We start from the raw sequence: 24095 nt of genomic DNA, 5'->3' as shown, positions 1-24095 counted from the left end.
GCTTAACGGGTACAGGGCTCCCTTGGGGGGTGAGAGAAATGTTCTAAAATTGATTGCGGTGATTGTTACAAAAATCTGTGAATATATAAGCCAATGAATTGTATAAATCAGTGAACTGTATGATATGTGAATTATATCTCAATAAAGCTGTTAAAATTGTGTAATGATCTCAAAATCCCCACTTTATATGTCTACCATGGGGAAAGTTTAAGAGAGGAATAGACATTACTAACGATGCTGACCTAGCCAATATGAGTATTCATAATCACCTAATTAGTTGAACCATAAATCTCCAACTTTTTAGCTCAATTTACCTGCTTGCAATGAGGCTGTGGCTTAAAGACTCCCTGCTTAGGACCACTGTCCAGCTTAGTGGCCCCATTGATAGGCTGGTGAACCTTCCAGGGTTTGCTGCAGCGGCTCCATATGCCAGAAACATGTTGCCTAAAGACATTTTTGCTTCTGGCTCAGTTAGGGGTAGCCTTACACAGCAATGACTTTCCTTAACCCACTGATGCGTCGAAATCACCAACACAACTCAACTTTACTCATTCCAGCATGTCTCAAAGTTGATTCTGATATTCCATAGGCAAAAAGCTTCTAGGGTCAAATAAGCTATGGAAACACAACAATAAACTATGTCCCCCATCTTAGAGGTGCACAATGTAATATTAAGGGCTCAAAATTCAACTTAGAAGAAAAATTTTAAAACTCAGAATTTCCCATACTTATTTAACCACCCTCCACCAAATACACACACACACACACGCGCACACACACGCACACTCACACACACACCCCAAAGACATACACATTTTTGTCCTTCACAATACCTATTGACATCCCTCAAAACACCATTCATGGACAATACTTTAAGAAATGCTTATTTAGCTCATCAAATTGGCTGAAGGAAGAGAGAACCATGACTTTAAAGCTTTTACCATCTGAGTACTTTACCTTGCTTTATAGAATTTTAATTTCAAAAAAATGAACATGGATATGCAACACCTAAATCCCTAGGATAGTAATTCCTAACCTTTTACAAATCTTGGCCCACAAAGGAAAGAATTGGAATAGTATGTCAGGATAAACTAACATGATGGTTTGCAGTCAAGAGGTTCAGGGCTCCTACCCCTTGTCACTCCAAATGTTACAAGGATCAATATGTCTGGATTTCAGTCATCTATACCACTAAAAAGCCTGGGGGAGTTCTACTCTCAATAATCTATAATCTATAGAAAAACTACCCCAATACAACTATCTTCTTGTTGGGAAAGTAGGAGACAAAATGTCTAGGCAATGCTTGACTTAACCTGGACACTGTAGAATTTGTGCAGACACTACCGTATGTTTTTTTTACATCACAGTGTGATTGACTATAGTTTTGTTGAGGTGGTAGGAAGCCACATAGAGCAAAGGTGTGATTTAACACCAAACTACCAAATCCAAGAACATAATTTGATATTCTGGAAAATGAGACTGAGCATGATTGTGTCCAAGCACCTAGAACTTTTGAGTAATCAGAATTTCTGTGCAAATGGCACAATGAGAACTATTCACAGTGAGAGTCTTATATGGTCTTTCTGAATTAGAAAAGATTATATTATGGATCACATTGTTTCTTTTTTTTATTAAGGGTATATAGCCTTCTAATTCCTTGAAAATCATTCTCTCTATATGTGGTAGCTCTATTAACCAAATTATTTGGATTAACCAGAGCACTTCTTCCCCCAGACTTGTCAAATATGAAAAGTGAACCTATAACTTTTTTCAAATGTCATAATTTTGTTTTTATTATTCATTTTCTATATTATTCTTCTTTGGGGAATTTGAAATAAATAAATTATATATTTATATATATATGTAAAAATTTTATAGCAGTAACAATTATTTCAAGGATGAGGTTTCAGAAGGCTTCCCAATATGCTTTCACTTGAAAGACAAATCCAATTCGACATGAGGTTTCATTATGAAGAAACTGTTACAAGTGATGACACTGGTTATTGAAAATTGAAATGAAGTGAGAGGAAGCTAACACCAATGTGTATGAGATTCTTTATTCTTTGAATGACACAAAGAACTCAATATATCTAATCATCTCTTATGCCCACTGGGAACTGAGCTACGGTGATATTGCACAGGGTTGCTTTTTGATTGCTGAAAACCCAAGTATTAAGCCATATGCCACCTATATCAGTAGTTAAAAAGCTTTGTGTCAGTGCCGAATCTTGGGAATTGTTTTACTTTCCCTCTCTCAGTTAGAGTAAATAATAGTAATCTGGACACAAAATTCATAAAAGGAAGGTACCAATGAGTCAGCATAGACAGATATTTTGGCTTTCTACATTAATGTCTGAATTATTACAAATCTAGAAGTAGGCATTAGGTACACTGTCTCTGAACAAGTTTTCTTGTGCTTTGGTGAGTGGCCCAGGCAGAGAGACTTTCAAAAGGAAGACAACAGGGGGTTCGTTTCTCTCCTTCTTATTGTAGGTTTTGCCTAAGAAGCTGGAAGATCAGATGCAGTCTGTACTTTGATGAGATATATGCTGTTTCCCTCTCTTGTTCATAAAACTATCCTTTCTGGATTTTTCTCCAAGTATCCCATCTTGAATCAAATCAGCTTTTGAGTATCTGTCCTCTAGCCTCTAGAATTAATGTCATCCCAAGGTCACCAGAGTTCGCAGATGTGTGGCTTCTCTATCAATTTCCTCCTCCCTTTCCTTCCTCCTGGAGGCTCAATGTATTCCATTTATAATATTCTCCATTTCCACTTGGTGAAGTTTGGAAGCTGGGGTATATTTCCGAATTTGTGTCTCTGGGTGAGTTGTGCTACGCTGTGCTGTCAAGATAACTATGGATTCTTTTTATAATTAAAAAAGCCAACTAACAGGAAATGCCTGTTCGATAAGCTGTGCCTACAAAGGTAACATGAGATCTTCACTACTCAGTACCATCATACTCTCTCCTATCAATCTACCCTCCATAATTCTTCCCAATTAGGCAGGATCTTTGAGTGTCCTATATTATGTTAAAGAGTTATCTGTTAAGCATTTGAAATAAAAACTACCGCGAGTCTCACCACTACTAGTAAAACATTCAATGTGCATGTTAAGAGCTACAATTTGAATACTGGCCTGCTAGCCAATAAGTCTTGAAAACAATTTAAAGTAAATTCCCTGATATGTCTAGTTATTCTACCCTGTTTTAAGGGTTGCTAATGAATGTGCTGCCTGAATGAACAGAAAGATTGGGAGCTCAAAGAGTGCTAACCTGGATAACATGACACTGGCACCAGAAACCAGTTTGTCCCATACAAAATCTCCTCTGGAGTATGTTCTTCATCTAGTGGTGATTTTCCAATAAAATCAGCCTTGGTTATTGCAAGCATTGGCGCAACCCCCGAGGGAGGAGATCAGGCAATTCAGTTCTAGGAAATGCTGTATGAGGCAAAATTAACCTTGTAGCAATGTTATTTCCTTTAACACGGTCTTGGGTTTTGTTTGTTTGTTTGTTTGTTTGTTTTGTACACTTCAATATTAAGAGAGGGATATTTTTACCCCATCACTGAGATGTGACCAAGGGATTTAATGACTTACATATTCATGAGAAGCATATAAAATTAAAGAAAGCTTGTTTAGTTTAACCACTTTGCAGAGATATTGCCTAGACCTTGTGGCTAGAAACGTCCGTGACAGTGAGTCAAGCCTTGCTTAAGGGCCGCTCCCTTAGAGCTTTGGAGCCATCCAACTTCTCCAACTACTGGCCAATGGGAAAAGCTGCTGAATGCTTTTTAGTCCTGTGACAGTGGAGTATCGCAGGAAGGACAAAAGGGAAGTATCAGATGCATCTCAGACTTCATAACTCCAAAGAAGAGGACAAGTGTGAGGGTTCTGAAACTGGCTGCTGTGTGTCCAATCCTGCAGATTTCTGAGGATCAAGATGCCTTTCCAAAATAGAAAATTGCATGTGTTTTCAACTGTTAACTTCATGATGTTTTTGTTTCCTTGTCCCATGTTATGAAAATTTGACTTCTATCATTCTTGAAAATGCCTAATGACATACATCAAATATAACTACCCATGCACTAACCCCCATTCATAGGGAGGCCGACATCTTCACTCCTGTGCCTCCTCTTTTCAATTTGTAGAGGGAATGAATCAAAAGTATGAAGGTGGATATACACCAGAAGAATCACTTGGAGGGTCAAATTCTAGCTCTATTAATAACAGTAAAACTAGCTTTATGATGGCTCAGAATAAAGCTAATATGGAACATAGATTATTATAAAATAAAACTCTATTCCTTTCCAACAAAAGCAAATAATTTACCCAATGGTTAATAATTAGTTCAGTATGATTTCCAAAGGGCAGCACAAAATCATACTTATTCTAAGACTAAACGCATACTCAAACTAAACTAGGACGGTTGAACTTTAAAGTGATATCCTTAGATGTTTGCACTTACTCATTCAAGATACTGAGCTGTTGTTATATGATAGCTACTATTTGAGATGCTGGGGTTACAGCAGTGACTAAAACAACATTCTCACTTGTATGGACCTTACATTCTTGTGGGAGGTGACACTTCAAAACATGGAGAGAGAGAAAGGGACAGAGTGAGAGAGAGAGAATGATGAGTACTTAAGAGAAAAAATAAAGTAGGGTAAAGAGAGTGAGCGTGTATAGGTTGTATGCTATTTTGTATACAGCGGTGGTCCAATATTGTTATTCCTGCTCAAAGCCTTGTAAAATTCCTCTTCAAGGCATTCACTATGTGCAAGAAGAAATCATTCTTATTTTGAACCACATTAACTGCTTTTATTTACAACTGGTTTTCAACATCCATGGCTCCGAATCACCATCTTAGATTAGTTTTTAAAAGTTAAAACCGGCCGGGCACGGTGGCTCAAGCCTGTAATCCCAGCACTTTGGGAGGCCGAGGCGGGAAGATCACGAGGTCAGGAGATCGAGACCATCCTGGCTAATCTGGTGAAACCCCGTCTCTACCAAAAACACAAAAAAATTAGCCGGGCGTGGTGGCGGGCGCCTGTAGTCCCAGCTCCTCGGGAGGCTGAGGCAGGAGAATGGCATGAACCCGGGAGGCGGAGCTTGCAGTGAGCCGAGATCGCGCCACTGCACTCCAACCTGGGCGACAAAGCAAGACTCCGTCTCAAAAAAAAAAAAAAAAAAAAAAAAAAAAAAAGTTAAAACCACATTCAAAAGTCTATTACCCATCACTAAGACCAGGAGAAGAACCTCATACATGGTTTGACCACACTCTCCAAGGGGATCTCCCAACGGGCTGTGCACCACAACAGCATCCTTGCAGGAAGGGCACAGCTGTGCTCTGCTGTGTCATTGTAAGGGTGGCCCTTATTTGGGTGTTGATTTTAAAAACACATAGCTTTTTCTAGTTCCATCACATATGTAAACAGATGTTTCTGTAGTGTTTGGAAATAGGTTCTTCTGTTTTCTTTAAACATTCTCCTGTACAATCTTGTTTCAATTATGTTACATCCCTGTTTGGAAATAGGTGAAGCTTAAATTATATGTGAGTGTACAATGTGTATGTAGAGAGTGTATATACACATCCACATATATATTTAAAGCAAGTTTTCTAACATGTCTAATTTGCTATTAAACCTGCGCAACATGGTATGAGTCAAGTTAAACTTTCACCTAGCCAGTGTTGGAAGTTACACACATCTCCAGCTCGTGAGAGAGATGAATAAGTTGTGATTTTAGATGTAGATGCTATTATTAGCAGATCCCCAGCAACCACACTGCAGCGTTTGATAATGCAAACATGAATGAGTACGAAGGAGCTCTTTGGCTGCCCTGAGCTCCCTTTGCCAGGCTTCCATGGAGGAATATAAGCCACAACAGTTTTCTGAAATGCTTTCCCCAAGTACGTGGGACCCACTTGTTGTGACAGTATGGTGCTGAGAGGTGCAGAAGACAGTAAACAAATTGGAAAAGGAATGAGAATTGAGAAAAAGATTTGAGACCTTCTTTTAGTTATGGCTGCCTCTGCCTGCCCCAACAAGGGGAACAATTCTGTCTTGGATTTAAATTACCATGGTGCATGAGGGTATGCTGATATAGAGTATATAAACACATGTGCATATAAAAACTGGATTATAATGACATGTAATATACCCCTATGCTGTAAATTCTACAAATAAAAACATTTTCTTGTGGAAGAATGATTTACTTTTTTTTTCTTTTTCAATGGTGGCTCTCTAGTTAACTCCTGTTGATTTAGGCAAAAGCTTTAAGAAAGCAGATACTATTTGTTTCCTATTTGAGGCCCTGGCCAAAATGAGTCATTTCTGTAGTTCTCAGTCCCCCCAAACTAGTAGTCAACTGAATAATAACTTACTACCTCAGGCTCTTGACTCTGAACGCATTCTGCGGTCGACAGAGGACTGATTTACTGTTTGGACCCCTGTCTATAGTCACCATGGGGGCATGCATCATTTCCCTAGAAATAAAAATAGCCCTAAATAGCCCTACTGTGCTTATGTTTTGGGCTGACAAAAATACATTCAGAAAGAAATTTTATGTCTGTGAAGTGAATTCAGAAACTGAAGCTAAAATAATAGTGTTTTGTGTCATGCCTAAAATACTATATCTTAGTGTAGCCTAGACATTTGTGTAATGTGAAAGGAACTGTATGAAAGAAACATTTTGAAAAATGCAAGAAATAATCAAGGGTTCATGAAGCCACAAGGGAACAGCTGAATGCTTACAGGAACTCTATATGAGCTGAGGTTTACATAAAAGTCCACAGAGAAGGATTAGCTAGATATAATCAGAAAGGATTTGATGTGTCTATTTATTTGCAAACAGTTTAAAAAGAGCACCTTATAATCTCTCCCTAACTCTAACCTTTAACTTTCTAGAATAAAAGAATCCTTTCCAGCATTTTGTTAGTTTCACCCACACTACACTGCTCTCCTCCTAATACCAAAAGTAGGGCCCAAGTATTAATATTTGGCAGTGTGATGCTTTAGGTATACTGGCACATGCAACAACTCTTTCCTTTCTTTTCTATTCTACAACTCACACACTTGGTATTTTCCGCTACTGTGAAAAATGCCACCCCCCGCCCCAGCTGCCTCTAAGTACCAGACATTGCTCACAACACAGCATCTGCTTTCTTCTCTTAGTGCCTTTTGAAAATGTTGTTCTGCTCTCTTGAAAGGCCTCTCCCCACTGTTCACTGGGGGACTCCTGCTGAGATAGGGAGAGCTCACTCTCAGCAGTCACTCCCTCCTTCATCTCTGTCCCATAGAATGCTACACATGCTTCAATCATACAAACGACCTATTCTGTAGTGTAATGGCTTTGTCTTTCCCTACCAGTGTGTGGGGACTCTCACAGTAGAGATCTTATTTAACTAATCTCTCTATTAACTGTGTCTGGCACATAGTAGGGACATCATTATTGTTTGTTAAAAGAGCAAATGTGTGGCTTGCTTGAATTCTAGCAGGTTAGCTATGTGACTCTACATTTTTGACAGTTTACTGAAAGATCACTACACGGCAATATTGAAATAAAATTCTAGGTGTAACTCTTATGTACCCAAAACTGAGCTGACTTATGTGGGCAGATTAAACAGCGTTGTCCATTCTTGTCTAAACAGCAAACACTAAGAAGGACAGAGTTAGAAACTAACACGTGGACCAGGCAGTATTTTATGAATGTTGATACTAAAAATAACATGGTTTAGTTCCCTTTAAAATGGTTTAATTCCACATTTGCTGGCTTAGTTGAGGTCCATCAGATTCACCAATAAATGGGTGCTTTTTGTTTCTATTTTATCCCTATGGTTATTAGGGTATTAATTTAACACCTAAAGAGAAAAGGTTCTCATAAAACTTTTGGAAAGATGAGTGATGGTAATTTGGCAACTAACGTGTTTGAAGTTTTGAAGAAACTTATCCTTACAGATATAAATTTAATATAATTGAAGTTGGCATAATTGTTAAAGAACCTGCAAATCTGATGATTCATTAATTTTTGACACATTTGGTGTCATGTTCTAAGAAAATAAATTGTTAAATAAAGTTACATAATACAACTGAAAAAACCAATAACACATTTCTAGGCATGGAAAGTGGACATGTGTGTCCTGAGAGGGAGTTGGTAAAAACTGTAGAGTTCCTGGAAACTTGGGGTTCTGGGCAGTTTGCTCTTTGGGTCTCAGTTTTCTCATCTGAGATTGCCTAGATGGTACAAATCCAAATACCAATGAAAAGGAAGGTGTTCAGACATTTGTGCAAATTTCATTAGCTGTGAGGATGATTGCTGGAACCTGTTGCATCCAACTGTGTCTATCTGAACAACATTAAGAGCCCAATTTATTTTATGCAGCTATTTAGAGAGAGATGTTATTGGTATCTCTCCATTAATTGTCCTTAAATTGGCGAGAGCCAGTTAGAGATTGACTAGAGGTTTGGGGAGGATGTAGGAAGCACATTGTTGAGGGTGCCTCATTATCTTGAAATGAGTGGACTGGGCATTTTGCCCACTGATCTGATGAAGCTCACTGGGGACTACTTAGCTTCATGTATCTCACTCGGTGGGACCCACCCCAAAATTTCCTATACCTTCATTGAGGACTGTGTCTCAGGGCATTTACAATCCATAAAAACAACTTACAGTGTCACACTGTAAAAGAGACATAGGAGCCACACAGAAGAATGGCACAGAATAGAGAATCCAGAAATAAATCTAAGCATTTACAGTCAATTCATTTTCTTTTTTTAGAAAACTTTTATTTTAGGTTCAGGGGTACATGTGTAGGTTTGTTATATAGGTAAACTGCATGTAATGGGGGTTGGATTTATAGATTATTTCATCACTCAGGTAATAAGCATAGTATCTGGTAGGTATTTATTTCTAATCCTCTCCCTCTTCCCACCCTCCACCCTGAGATAGGCCCAGTTGTCTGTTGTTCCTTTCATAGTGTCCATTGTTCTCATTGTTTAGCTCCCACTAAAAATATGCAGTATTTATGTTCTCACTCATAAGTGGGAGTTGAACAATGAGAACACGTGGACACAGGGAGGGGAACACACACACCAGGGCCTGATGGGGGGGTGGAGGGCTAGGGGAGGGAACCTAGAGGATGGGTCAATATGCGCAGCAAATGACCACGGCACACGTATACCTATGTAACAAACCTGCATGTTCTGCACATGTATACCAGAACTTAAAGTAAAATTTTAAAAAATAATGCAGTATTTGGTTTTCTGTTCCTGCATTACTTTGCTTAGGATAATGGCCTCCAGCTCTGTCCATGTTGTTGCAAACTACATAATTTCATTCATTTTTATGGCTGCATAGTATTCCACGGTGTATATACACCATATTTTCTTTACCCAGTCTTCCATGGATGGGGATTTAGGTTGATTCCATGTATTTGCTATTGTCAATAGTGCTGCAATGAACATACACGTGCATATATCTCTACGGTAGAATGATTTATATTCCTTTGGGTACATATCCAAAAATGGGATTGTTGGGCCGAATAGTAATTCTGTTTTAAGTTCTTTGAGGATTTGCCACATTACTATCCACAACGGCTGAACTAATTTACACTCCCACCAGCGGTGTACAAGTGTCCCTTTTCTCTGTGACCTTGCCAACAAATGTGGAATTAAAGATTTTTAAATGGAATGAAGCCACTTTATTGTTAGCAACAACACTCGATTTTGTGTTTCATGAAACATTTGCCCTGCCAGACAAAGATATCCTCTGGTCAAACACATTTGGGAATCCTTAGGTAAGACAAAGCTAAACAGAACTCCTTCTTTGAGCCTACATTATGTGAATGTGCACAGTGATGCTCCAGGGAAGGGATATGATAGAAGATGCCAAAACTTCTTGGTGCTGGAGCCTTTTATTCTCAAGGAGAAAATCCCACAAAACTTGTCTGGCAGAACACAAATCAGATTCCACTGCCTTATTCAGAATGGTGACTTAACTGACTGACATTCTGCATGTCTGTGATGTGCATGTATACAAGAACATCACAAGAGATATGGACTCCAAATGCAAAATTACCTTTGGTCCTCGGGGGCCATTTCAAAGGCTTTACCAAGTGTCTTTGGAGCCACACTTATTTTCCACCTAAGATATCTTTTTTAAACTCTAATGATGTGTCTTCTTGTCCTTTATTCCACAAATGTAAAAGGTAAAAATGGTGGGGAAAGGCATTATGTGTGTGCACGTGTGTGTGTGGAGTTAAATACAGATGCATTATACACACATAAACACACACACACACACATACACATATATATATATATATATAATTTATGTGCATGCATGAATCTACATCGAACTAACAGGGTTAATATTGTTCTAAAATGAGTATAATCATAAAACAGATTTCCAGGCTTTGACTTTTTTAAAGAAGTGGAATGTCCATGTAAATAATCTAGCTGAGGCCTATAACAAGGAGTTGACGCATGCAATTTCATACTACAAACTAATATCAGATTCAAGACTAGAACCCAGGTCTATCAACCCTTTGTGTTTAATAATTAGGGGACTGATGGATAATTCACATTCAGTACCAAGTGAAGAGCTCTTTAATGCCATTTGACTCTACCATGTGAATCTCTTTCATCTGGGTGAGCTCTGAGGGCCCTAAGCTACCATTTCTACTCAGCCTTGGTTTCCAACCTGGTATTTCACTGCCTGCACCCCATCAGGCATCCTGGGCTCCTTGCTTTCCCTTGCCATACCTCAGCACCAGTGTCGCAAACCAGCAGTCCTTAAAATCCTGGTGCAAATGTTTTCTCCTCCCCCATTGTCCCTTCCATCTTTGACAGTGTTAACTAGAAGCATTTTTTGTTCTTAGAGCCTCCCTGTACTTTATCTGTTCCCCACTTAACAAACATTTCTCTCCCCATATATCTTGTATTTAATTTTTTACAAACCGATTTTATCTTTTCTGCTAGACTCTAAACTCCTCAAGGGTAGGACCTGTGTCAGATTTACTTTTAATTTCCTCAGCACCTATCACAGTTCCCAGAATGTTGTAGAACCTAAATAAATATTCATCAGATGAATAAATGAATAATGTGCAAATATCATAGTCAGGAAAATTTTTGTGGCTATTTGTCATTTTCACTAATGAAAGCACCATATCTATGATGAATCAGGTCCTAAAAAAACGTAATTTCCTACGCAGAGTGGATTCTGATCCTGAATTGTGAAAGACAATCATCACATTGTTTAATGTTGTTAAAGTGTAAAAGCAGGGAAGAATTTTATGCTTGACAACAGTGTGTGCATGCTCTCTCTCTCTCTCTGTTTCTTTCTCTCTCTCTTTTGGTAACAGATGTCAACCTTGGTTAGATTCAACTCAACTTATTAGTGCATGGCTTTTAGCCAAAAGCAATTCACATTTTCAGAAATGTACTATCACATATGTCTTAATAACAGAAATGTGTTTTTGAAAAAAATGTATGTGATAAGTCACATATGGTGAAAGAAATCTGTACATCTCTCAGGCCTTGCTGTCACAATGAAATCTTGGAGATGACTGCTGCAGAGCATTAAAATACAAGTGAAAGTCTTTCTGACACATTAAAGAGCCATAATTTGAACATACTAATCAAGCTCTGATAACAGTATGGTTCCAGTATAGTGAGAAATAGACCAGGTTTCCCTTGTCCTGATCAGTGATCTTAAGAACACTCATGTTTGAGTCTTACCCTCAGAGGTAATATTTAATGTTTCAAGGAAATGGCATTAGTGTATCCAGGTACATTATGTGCTTACATTCACTAGGCATATACTTAATTTCTTTTTTATATGGAGCATAATTACTGTATATCACAGTCTCCCTATGGCAATGAAAGAAGCAGCTTACAACCATGAAAGTATTAAAAATAAATTGAAAGAGTGGTTAAGAAATAGGGGAGGGAGGCAAAACTTTTAGAAACTTATTAGCCATACACTAATAAGTTTATTTACCAGCACCATAACTGAAAGCTAATTTAGCCTTAGTTAGATGTGGAAGTGACAGAATTTTAGAAAATTAATATGCCCTTTGCAATAAATCCATCTACACACAATTTGGAAGGCTAGCAGTATGCCCTAGATATGTGTTCTATGTGTTCATTTGTTTCTGAGGCATCAATGCCCTGTCAATGGATCTCATATCCATATGATTTTCAAAGGTAGTGAGTGAAGAGCGAATCTGTTTGCTCTGAATGAGAATTAAGTGGCACATCAACCCTAGAAAGTCCTAAACACACAATAAGGGCTCATTAAAACTCACTGTTTTAAAGGCCAAAGGAGAAAGGATTGATAGTTTAACCTTCAGCATCACAAAAAAGCTTAATGCTTTTTTCTGCCTCACCAACTAGAGCAGGAGTCCACAAACTTTCTATAAGGGGCCAGATGGTAAAAATGTACAGCTTTGTAGGCTACATACATTTTATGTCACAACTACTCAACTCTGCCATTGTAGCACAAAAGCAGCCACAGACAATATGGAAATGAATGAGTGTGGCTGTGTTCCAATAAAACTTTATTTATGCTTACTGAAATTTGAATTTCATATAATTTTCACATGTCAAGAAATGTTCTTCTTTTTATTTTTTTCAACCATTTGCCAAATTCTACACCAAAGGGCTATATGAAACCACACACATGTTCATATTTACCAATTTGTGTTCATACTTGAGTTGTAAATGATGCCGCTGGGCCTCTGTTTTCCAGTAAAACTGTACACAATTTTCATTGTATGCTCAAAAAGACAATCAAATGTTATTTCTTGATATGAGATCAAACAAGGAACTGGTCAGAAAAAGAACAGCTAGAAAGAACCAGAGCAATGGAGGAACATTTTTACATGTGGCATGAGTCAAGAATAACAGGGACTGTGTTGCGGGAAGTCAGGGACCCCGAATGGAGGGACCGGCCGAAGCCATGGTAGAAGAACATAAATTGTGAAGATTTCATGGACATTTATTTGTTCCCCAAATTAATACTTTTATAATTTCTTACGCCTGTCTTTACTGCAATCTCTGAATATAAATTGTGAAGACTTCATGGACACTTATCACTTCCCCAATCAATACCCTTATGATTTCCTATGCCTGTCTTTACTTTAATCTCTTAATCCCATCATCTTCGAAAGCTGAGGAGGATGTATGTCGCCTCAGGACCCTGTAATGATTGCCTTAACTGCACAAATTGCTTGTAGAGCATGTGTGTTTGAACAATATGAAATCTGGGCACCTTGAAAAAAGAACAGGATAATAGCAATGTTCAGGGAACAAGAGAGATAACCTTAAACTCTGACCGCTGGTGAGCCGGGCGGAACAGAGCCATATTTCTCTTCTTTCAAAAGCAAATGGGAGAAATATTGCTGAATTCTTTTTCTCAGCAAGGGACATCCCCGAGAAAGAGAATGCGTCCTTGAGGGGAGGCCTCTGAAATGGTCGCTTTGGGGGTGGCTATCTTTTACGGTTGCAGCTGTGGGATGAAATAAGGCCCAGTCTCCCATAGCGCTCCCAGGCTTATTAGGACGAGGAAATTCCCGCCTAATAAATTTTGGTCAGACTGGTTGTCTGCTCTCAAACCCTGTCTCCTGATAAGATGTTATCAATGACAATGCGTGCCCGAAACTTCATTAGCAATTTTAATTTTGCCCCGGTCCTGTGGTCCTGTGATCTCGCCCTGCCTCCATTTGCCTTGTGATATTCTATTACCTTGTGAAGCATGTGATCTCTGTCACCCACACTCTATTCGTACACTCCCTCCCCTTTTGAAAATCACTAATAGAAACTTGCTGGTTTTGCGGCTTGGGGGGCATCACAGAACCTGTTGACATGTGATGTCCCCCCCGGACACCCAGCTTTAAAACTTCTCTCTTTTGTACTCTTTCCCTTTATGTCTCAGACCAGCTGACACTTAGGGAAAACAGAAAAGAACCTACGTGAAATATCAGGGGTGAATTTCGCCCGACAGGACTGGACCACTTGGTTAGTTACAATACACATGTTCTTTTAACATGATGGTGACACTCTACTAGAAGAGAGCCACCAGCCTTATCAAGCCTGCAGGCTAGGTTCCTGGAAGAAACCTATTTTCCTGGAAGAATCCCTGTTTTCTGGGATATGTCCAATTTGTTTACTTATTCATTCCGTAAACTTGTATTGAACCTTTACTCTATTTGGAGTTCCAGTGCATTGTGTGTAACTGAAATTCTCTAGTGTTACCGGGGGGATCTTTGTTCTTCAAGCTCCCAAGATGGTGGTGGCCACTCCCAAGATGGGGCGGGCCTTTTATTCTCTGACCTGGGGTTCTTGGCCTCATGGATTCCAACGAATGGAACCTTGGGCCATGTGGTGAGTGTTATAGCTCTATTAGAAGCTGTGAGTCATGGAAGAGAACCGTGGAACCCAGCGAACAGTGTTCAGCCTGATTAGGATGAACCCAGGCACTTAGCTGTGCAGGAACAATGGCAAGCCTTTAGCCTGATCGGGAGTGGCAATGGGTGCCTCGCTGGATCAGGAGTGCAGCGGACACTCTGCCGGATCCGGAGGGGTGGAAGTCAAGGGCAGGTCTGCAATGGCGGCATTCAGCAGTGGTGGACGGCGAGCAAAAGCTCAGCTTGAGCCGGAACAAACATGGACCAGAAGAGTGTGCAGTTGCAAGATTTAATAGAGTGAAAACAGAGCTCCCATACAGTGTGAGGGGACCCAAAGAGGGTTACCTGATCTGGCTCAAATGCCTGGGTTTATATCCCGATCATTGTCCCTCCCCCTGTGCTCTCAGGCGATAGATGATTTGATTATTTCTTTACCTCCTGTTTTTAGCCTAATTGGTATTTTAGTGAGCTCTCTTTACTACCTGATTGGTCGGGTGTGAGCTGAGTTACAAGCTCTGTGTTTAAAGGAGGGTGTGGTCACCTTCCCCAGCTAGGCTTAGGAATTCTTAGTCGGCCTGGGAAATCCAGCTAGTCCTGTCTCTCAGTCCCCCTCTCAATGGGAAAACCCAAGTGCTGTTGGGGAGGTTGGCCAACAACTGCTCTAACTGCTTCCTGCTGAACTGGGGGCATAGTAGGGTTGTGCAGTCGAGATTTCCTCAAGAGGGATGCCTTTGATGTCATCAGAAATGGCAAAAGGACCACTATGTATAAAACTTTTTAAAAACTTTGACTCTGTTCTCCTGTCAGGCAGAGCAACTGAACCCTGCTGTGGAGTTTTTGTTTCTGAGCTGAGGTCTTGAGGAAGTCTCCTTCTTCAAGTGCTGAGTTTGGTATCATGAACCCAAACTCATTCTGAGAACAGTATCTTACTTAATTAGAAGACAATTCTAAACACCTACCAGTTGGTTATGACTTAGGTTTATTACTAAGCAGATTTTCAAATATATTTAAAGCACAAAGCTCAATAATCCTTTGACTCTTCTAGTTTCTGTTCCTTCTTTTTATAACATTCCTCAAAACGCTAGACATTAGATAGAGTGTGCACTGTGAATTAATAAGAACTCATAAAAATACAATTACTGTAGGGTCAAATTCTCACAAGGAGCAAAGAGAAAACAGGTCCTGCTTCTAGGCCATTAGAATAGAATTAAATGCAACCCCAAACACTGCCAATGGGCTATTCCATGCATGCAAAAATGCAACTTGGGAATCACTTCCTATTGGGAGGGCTGGAGCTTGGAGACATTTGCCATTGAGGGCCTTGATTTACATTCCTCCAGCCCTAGCCCCACTCCTTATGACCTGGGGCACACATCTGCATGCAGGCGGACTGAAGGGAGGAGTGCAGTTGAACTGCAGGAAAGAAGATCACTAATCGCCCACCCAGGGACAAAAGCCCTGACCCTGGCCTCATTAGCACCATCCTCTAATTCTCCGAGCTTGCCAGCCACAGGCTCACAGTGGAGGAGCCTTTAGGGCATTCAGACGGAAAAGAAATCAGGCTGCAGAGAAGATTTCAACCCCCAGCTGCACGACCTGACAAAACCTCAGCTACTACAAATACTTCCATAAGACTACAACATAATATATCTCCAGACTACGGATGCCCCTCTAGATGTTACAGAGCCTGATAGGGAATATTCTTTGGCCTAAGAAAAATGAAACTTAAAAGCAAAGTACACAACACCTTTTGGAAAAACGTACTAGGGCTTGGATTTAATGGTATGCTAAATGCTACCCTGGTGCTCTGGAAATTTAGTTATTTTATTATACAAAACAAAAACATTTCTTGTTGGCATTAGCTGATCCATTCTCCCAGAAACTTAAAAATCTATGTACTCTCCATTTCTGTATTTGGTACCAACTATAAAGGAAGTCAGCCAAAATAAATTAACACATAGTTCCTCGAGATGTGATATTACCAGACCTATAATAGCCCAGCAAATAGAGAAAGTCCTCCCTCAGCCACAGAGCTGGCAGGACTAGCATGCATTGTAACACTGCAATCAGATGTTACAAACCAAATGACAAGACAGCCATCCTTCTTAATTTGAAAGTCTCCCTTCTGGAAGAGACAGGATGTCTAAGATGTACTATATTTAAAGGAGGTCTGTGTAGCTTGTTTATGATTTAAGAGTATCTCATAAAATGCCTTGGGAATTGCTTTCTGTTAGCTAAAACAAAAAAGAAAAGCCTTTAGTTAAGTATATTTTATGAGCTTTTCATTAACAGAGTATTGAGGCCTTGATGCCAAGGTGCCAAACCTCCCCACGTGGCTGGAAATCACTTGGCACACTTTCAGTCATTTATGTCTCTGTCATAGGTCCAAGGTTTGCAATTAAAAATGTAATCTTTTTAGCATGTGCAAAACCCAAAGGCTTGAAGTACTATGTATTGAATATGATTATAATCGTATTTGGCAGCTATTCATGGATTGCACATATTAATTTATGTAAACTGGGTACAACTTGGGGCATTTCTTCATCAGGAGCACAGGGAAAAATATAAGCTGGTCCCTGCTCATTGGAGGATTTTTTTGGCTTGTTTTGTTTTTGTCTTTAAATTGTCATGAATAGAGATTAACTCAAAATCCAAGGTCTCTTTTATGACCTTATTTTTTCACATGCATCGAGTCCGTTAAAATTAACATTTGCAACTAATAAAAATAATAACTTACTTCACAGGATTATTCCTAGGTTTTGCCTTTTCAACAGCCTGTAAACAGAAGAAAAAATGCAATTAGACAATATTAGCAGGCATAATCATTGCAACTAGCTACCAAAACAATAAGCAATATAAAATGCTCTTCAGAAACATAAGGAGCTAACCGAAACAGGGTGCTGTAGATAAGCAGACTGGAGACTCAGAAAGCAATTTTCTTCTCCTGGGAAACATGGTTACCTGTCCAAGTGCAGCTTTCCAATACAGGTGGAAATTGTGAGGTGGATATTGTGAGGGCTGCCTAGAAAGTTCATCAGGGACCATAAAAGTGGACTTCTGGGTGCATAACTAGGGTCCCTCTCTTCCCACCTTTCACTCTAATCTTACCGTGTTTGGACCTGCTTGGGTTGTAACGACAGGTTAGGGAAACAGATGCAGACGGAATGGTCATGGGCATATCCTGGATTTTTAGATTTGTGGTAGGGAACTGCTCACCCTAGCACTACTACTGACATCTGGCCATACTTCCACCATGATAGAAAGTCGAGTGTCCCTTTCTAAAATCATTTTTATTAGCCGACACCACAGAAGGGCAAGGAATGACTGAATACTCAGATCAATTTCCTCCTGTGGAACCTTTAAGAAAATATACACCAAATCATAGAAATGAGGAAATCTCTGGGCCTCTCGGCCTGCATTGCCTTAGACATGGAGCCCGGTTCCAGTTTAGTGCTGAACCCATTGATCTGTGTACAGTCCATTTATCATTCATGAAAAGAGCTAGTGATCTTCACAGTATATTAGAAGAAACAACTCAGATCATCTGTCAACAGCCCTCTTATTTCTGTTTCCTTCTCCACAGGGATTTCATCTCCTTCGATTCTTCTGGAATTAAAATGTTGCTAAGCAACACAGCTGGGGGTGCTGATGGCAGAATGGCTACAGTCTATCAAACTGTTTAAGCACCTGGAGGGTTTTAGTGATGATTTTTTTTTCATATTTCTGTAGCATAATTATGTAATCAGAACCAAACTTGTACTCCCATAGACTTTTTCAGGCTATAGACGTTATGTTTGATAAAAAGAGCATTGAAGCAGCTATTTGACAACCTCAGGGTTGTTCAGATCCTTTAAAAAAGTATCTGTTTGGGGATCTTTGTGAATCTTGGAGGTGGGTAAGGGCTACAGAGAAGAGAATACTGCTGTAAATTAGAATACAGAGGCAACCACTTTTAGCAGAGACAACATATAATCTAACTCTGGACTTGACATTCTCGGTGACAAGTGATATTCAACATACTGAAGACCTCTATGCATAACAACTGAATAAAACACTTCCAAATTTTAGATGTTAGTGCTGGAAATCCATGCTTCCATTTACTAAGTCTCAGGTTCTGTTTCTAGATAAATAACCATTAATATTTGGGCACTTTCTTTGGCTTGGTAGGCAAAAATCATTTTCTCACCATCTGTGCCTGAGGTTGAATTTTGGCAAGTGCTAGAATAGGAAAAAAGCTAAGGAATGAGGTAAGAGGTGAAAATGAGAAAACAAGAAATATGTGTCTGGCTGGCCCAACTCATCTGTCACATGTATCTTGGACATGAAAACTTGTCCATTTGCTGTCCATTTGCAGTCCATGTACAGAGGATGTGAACCTCACTCATCCTGCAGATTCTCCCATGTCAGAAGAACAAAGGGAGAAGTGGTGCTGGCAAGAAGTGGGGACTGCCATGCAGCTTTCCTACAGCAGCAGGACCCAGTCTGTACATACATGCACACTCACATCTGCCTTTTTTTTAAAAAACCCTTTTCTCTCCCAAGCCTGGCTGGTTTGCAATAAGATATACTAGTAGGCTGAAGACATGTCACTGTGGAAATCATGTGAATCCACTTTTTTCAATCCCTTAGAATCCAGATAAGTCTGTTCTAGAAGACTTAGGTTATCACAAAGTAATGGGTGCTGTGTTCAAGTGGTTTCCTTTTAAAGCATGCTGGATGTGATAGGATGAGCTTGCCACTGGCAGGAGACAGGAAGAGGGAAAAATCAAAGTGACATTGCTTATCCTCCCTTTGATTCGGAGGCATGTTTTTTGAAAATACCCTCTCTGCTCTATGCTTTGGAACTGTCAATTAGACCCAGTTATTTTTCTCTGATCAGGAGGAACGTGATCATGTTTGAGGCCAGTTTCTTTGAAACATACATCTTTTTATAGAGCCAACATAGGAAAATAACTTCCTTCAAATTATTTTTTCTGGGTTGCCTGGCTATTGATTGAAAATGTCTATGCTGAGAGGTTCTCTTTTCTTTGGAAATTAACTTGTGATCATTCTGATGTCCCAACAGCTCTAGTCAGATGTCCTCATGTCATCCTCTTGTGTGCTCATCACCTTGAATCTCTCAAGTAAATGATGGCAAGTAAATGATGGTAGAGTAAATGATGGCAGAGAACCTTGCCATATGAGAAAAAGCTCGCAATGTGTTACTATGCTTTCACTGTAATTTGATGTTGTTTTAGGTATGCTATGAGGAATTATTACATTAAGAGACTTTGAGGAAAAAATTTTAAGTGAATTATTTATGTGCAAATGATATGTGAATTATTCTACAAGATACACAAAGAGAGAATTTCTCTTTTGAAATGATGGGACATAAGAAGACCATCCCAAGTTCCAGATACACTTGCCAGAATGTGAGACACACTGCAAAAGGAGGAAAATTAAAAGGAAGTGACATAGCACAATTCACCAAACATCAAGACAGTTACATATTGGGATTGCAGCTAATTTTAAATTTAAAAACATACATTAAAGTAATTTAAACTGATTGGAAAATGGAGGCTGGAGAGTTAACAGTTATGCTGCTTTAATTTATAACGTCTATATGCTTTTAAAAACCTATATTCTCCTTATTTTGTGCCATGGTTCCCTATCATGATATTTATCTCACAATTGAGGAAGCTCTAGTATAAGAAAAAAACAATAAAAGAAATTAAAATGTTAGAGAATGTACTCCAGTATGGTGTGATGAGAGGTAATAGGCTAGAGTGGAGAGAGTGCTGTGCCAGAAATGTTAAAAACCTGGGTTCTAGTCCCAGATTTGCCACTTACCCTATTGGCAAGTACTAAACACCTTTGAGCATCAGTTTCTTCATTTTAAAAATGAAGATAATAATTCCTGCCTTTTCTACAGCAACGGTGGTTGTGAGTAGCCAACATTGACAACAGTGCTCTGGAAGCTGCAACATGATATGCAAATGCAGTGCACCTTGATTGTGACTGCTTTCTACACAGTTGTTCATGCATAGATTTTTACAGCCAGATAGTCTATGGGCTTACTGAGTAGAGGCCACATTGTGGTATGAAACCTACGTAGTTATTCCAATGAGGATTATAGGAACCACTATCTTCTACTCTCCATATCAGTAGTGGTTCTGGAGTGAATAGAATGCTTCTGTCTGGAAAGTGCTATTCACAGAAGACTTTGATATGTTTAGATTCTACAGACCTCTCTTTCTCTCTACTTTTCTTTCTCTCTTTTCTCTCTCTTTCTCTGTGTTTCCAAGGAAGCCTAGGATGATTCCATATTTTCCAGTTGATCTCTCCTTTAGTAGCCCCTCCTTCCACACTTCACTCCATCAGATGGGCTCTTTACTTTTTTATTAACATTGGACCCTGAGGATGGGGAAGCCCTGAAGCTCCTATTCTACATGGGCCACCTCTGTCATGGGGTATCTTGAGAAATTAAATGCAAGGAAGAAGGAACTTCTCTGATTCCAAGGAGCATTTCTGAGGTGACTCCTCTCTCATTATCAGCACATTTATTTCCTTTGGAGGGATGATGTGGCTACAGACAGGCTCAGATTTGCTCACTCGCTAAACCTATGTTCCTGAAAATAAGAAGCTTGTCTTTCTTTTATATAGAGAATCCTTGTGCTGCACTAAAGCTCAAGTAACCCAGGAACCATGTTGAATTACAAAAACCATATCATATAGCACTATTACAAAAAAATAGGTAGAAAGAAAGAAGGAAGGAAGGAAAGACAGTTGCTGTCTCTTGAGTCCCATCCACGTGGCATACATGGTATCACATTTCCTTAAGGATAAAATATGACATAAAAGGTGCTTAGAAAACTTGCCAGCCATTTTCTTTATAATGATAACACTTCTTCAAAATTCTTTAGCAAGGTAATTCTGTCTCAGAGATTATACTCAATTAATTGCTATTCTAGTCCAATAGACATGTATAAATAGACATGTCTATTGGACTAAAAATACATATTTATAGAAAATGTAGAGAATCTTTTGGGGGTTATATATATATATATTTATAGAAAATGTGAGAATCTTTTGGGGGTTATAAGAAGCATGCTCTGAACAGTCAGACTTATGACATTATCCCCCTCCTTTTACAGAAAACAAATCTAATGCAATATGTTTCCTGTATGTTGAGACTGTCAAAGTGAACATTTGGATGGCCTAGAGATATTGTGGCAGTGGACTCAGGTATTCATTTCTTCCATAATCAATAATAATACTGTCAGTCAAGCATAAAATGTGATTTTATTAGTATTGCTCTATATGCCTTTTACATTTCCATTTCATATGCATTTTCCTTTCATTCTACTAGCAGATACATCCAAACTGGGTTTTTACATTTCTTAATCAAAAGGGAAAATCCAATCATTCAGATAATTTCAAATAACTGGGTATTCAACAACATGGAAAAAGACAGAAAAACAATTAATTGCATTGGTTTTGTGTTTCTTTGTTTTGTTTTGGATTTAATTTTTTTTCACATGATTGTTCTGTGGGGCACAGCTATACCCTAACCTAGCAGCATGTATTGGTAAATTGCATCGATTGCTTAAGTTCAGAAGAGAAACTCTTCCATTAACAAATGAACTCATCATTAGGGTATTCAGATGGCCTAAAATCAATACCAACAGAATTGGCTAAAACAATTGAAGAGACATATACTGACAGCACTTGCTTAAATATAAAAATGAATCGCTTAATTACAGCATTTAAATAGATTTCACTGGAATGAGTAAAATGGCAAAAGACAATGTATCCTGTAGGCTAAACCCCAGCTGGCATTAAGCACACACAGCCAAGGGTGGCAGATTAAGAGGACAAAATGTCACTCAAGATTTTGCAACACCTGGATGCCTGAATTTCTGACTTGTCATACGGGGATTATAATCTTCAGGAAAACACTAACCATTATTATGGATGCCTGAAAACGTGCATGGAAACATTCTGTATTTGAACCTTGAACCTCTAGGAAGCAAAAACATGTTACCTATCTTTAGATCACTGGGCTTTCCACATTTTAACTTTATTCATTCTTTTCTAATAATCAATGAAATAGGTCTTTGCTATACGTAACAGGGGCAGGAACATACTTTTGACAGGCAGAGGTTGGGGAAAATTTGTTCTCAGTGGATAGAACTATGTCTTGCACTTAATAGTCACTTAAACATTGATGAGATAAATGAATCAAGAATGACTAGGCAAACTCATAGGCCTGGACATTATGCTCTGGGCATGAAAATGTGCCAGAGGACAGTAAGCTCTGTATGGAGGGAAAAAATAAGCCTCTGGAGGAAGAGCTGAGCTCCAGGCTGATGTGCATCTCAATTCATCCTGCAACTGAATGTAAGGCTCTTGTTTACACTCCGAAGAGGAGGGAGTCTGGAGCAGCATTCACAGGGTGAATTTCCCATCCCACTTTCTGGAAGAAGGCTTGTAGCTACCTGTGCCTTCCTCACTCTTCCTGCAACTACTGCTAACTTGATTTCTATTGCCTCTCACCAGGACTATGGCCACTGCCACCTCACTTCTCTACTGGTCTCCCTATTCTAAATCTATTTTATGTTCTACTTCAAGATGAATCCTCCTAAGGCTCCACTTTGATCACATTGCTCTCATTGTCATAATCCTTCATGGCTTCCCATTGCTCATTGAGTAAATATCAATTTCACTCACACTGCCATTCTAGACCCTGCCACAGCCAGTTGAACAGCCACTGAATAGCAGGTACTACTTGTACCTGCATGTGCATTTCACTACCATGGAAGCCAGAGTTTTGTGAGCATCCAGCCCAAAGATGACGTGATAACAGCATTCAGAAGTGCCTGCACTCCATAAAGACTTGCTCCCTTCACTCTGGCTATGTTGCTGGATAGAAAATCCTTTGGCAAGATCCATTTGTCAATTGGAAATTTCCTTTATAACTAAGGTTTGGTTTATTGTAACTTAATGAAAAATGTACTGTCTTTGGTGAAGAAGCATGTTTCACCCACAAAGTCATCTGTTGACACTAATCATTCTCTAAGTGGAGTAAATATGCAGATGCCAGCCAAGCACTTCAGTATTGCATTGAGGTGTTTATTTTTTCCCAGTCAGGAGGCCCAATGTAAGTGGCACTTGGTCACTCTGTTCCCCTGGGGTTTGTGGGTTTGAAAATTCAATTTTCTTCCCCCTAACCAATCTGAGCCCTCTTGCCCCTGATGCTAAGGGGGCACACCTCATAAAATGACATGTATCTTTTAGTGAGAGACAATCAATGCCTAATAGAGGTTTTCTCCCTACCATTCATAACCAGAAGAAATGGGAAGTGTATTATTAGTACATAGTAGGTACTCAGTTACATATTCAAAAACCTAATTGGCAGGAAATACTGATAAAATATCTTTATCATTAACCTGCTAGTGTGATAAGGCTTCCTATCCCTTTGGAACACATTATACTGTGGGTAATGAGACTACATTTTTATTTATATACTAAATACTAACTGACTGCTTTGTATCTCAGTTTCCTTATTGAGAAAATTAGAAAGCTAGAGTAAAAACTCTCTATGGTCATTTTAAGGTCTGGTATTCTATATTTTAATACACACACAGGAGTATTTCACATATATCTAAAAGGATTATATACATATGGATATATATATGTATTTATATATA

At 39.1% G+C, this 24095-nt stretch overlaps 1 protein-coding gene across 6 annotated transcripts in view, besides 1 other annotated feature; it reads right to left on the bottom strand.

The window, feature by feature from the left end:
• Positions 1–24095, bottom strand: part of AFF2 (ALF transcription elongation factor 2) — a 500047-nt gene that overhangs the window by 79262 nt on the left and 396690 nt on the right. For all 6 annotated transcript variants that reach the window (NM_002025.4, NM_001169124.2, NM_001169123.2 and 3 more), the window contains one exon: positions 17144–17181. In NM_002025.4, coding sequence (NP_002016.2) covers positions 17144–17181 — 38 coding nt within the window. The remainder of the gene's footprint in view (positions 1–17143; positions 17182–24095) is intronic.
• Positions 6476–6575: an enhancer, noted in NCBI's record as "active region_30010". NCBI's record gives its function as "activates an Ori minimal core promoter by ATAC-STARR-seq in GM12878 lymphoblastoid cells {active_cell/tissue: GM12878}" and the evidence as "EXISTENCE:reporter gene assay evidence [ECO:0000049][PMID:35858748]".

Source organism: Homo sapiens, chromosome X, assembly GCF_000001405.40.
Source record: "Homo sapiens chromosome X, GRCh38.p14 Primary Assembly".
Lineage (NCBI taxonomy): Eukaryota > Metazoa > Chordata > Mammalia > Primates > Hominidae > Homo > Homo sapiens.
Note: the sequence above shows the minus strand (reverse complement) of the source record. Positions and strands in the feature narration are given on the sequence as shown.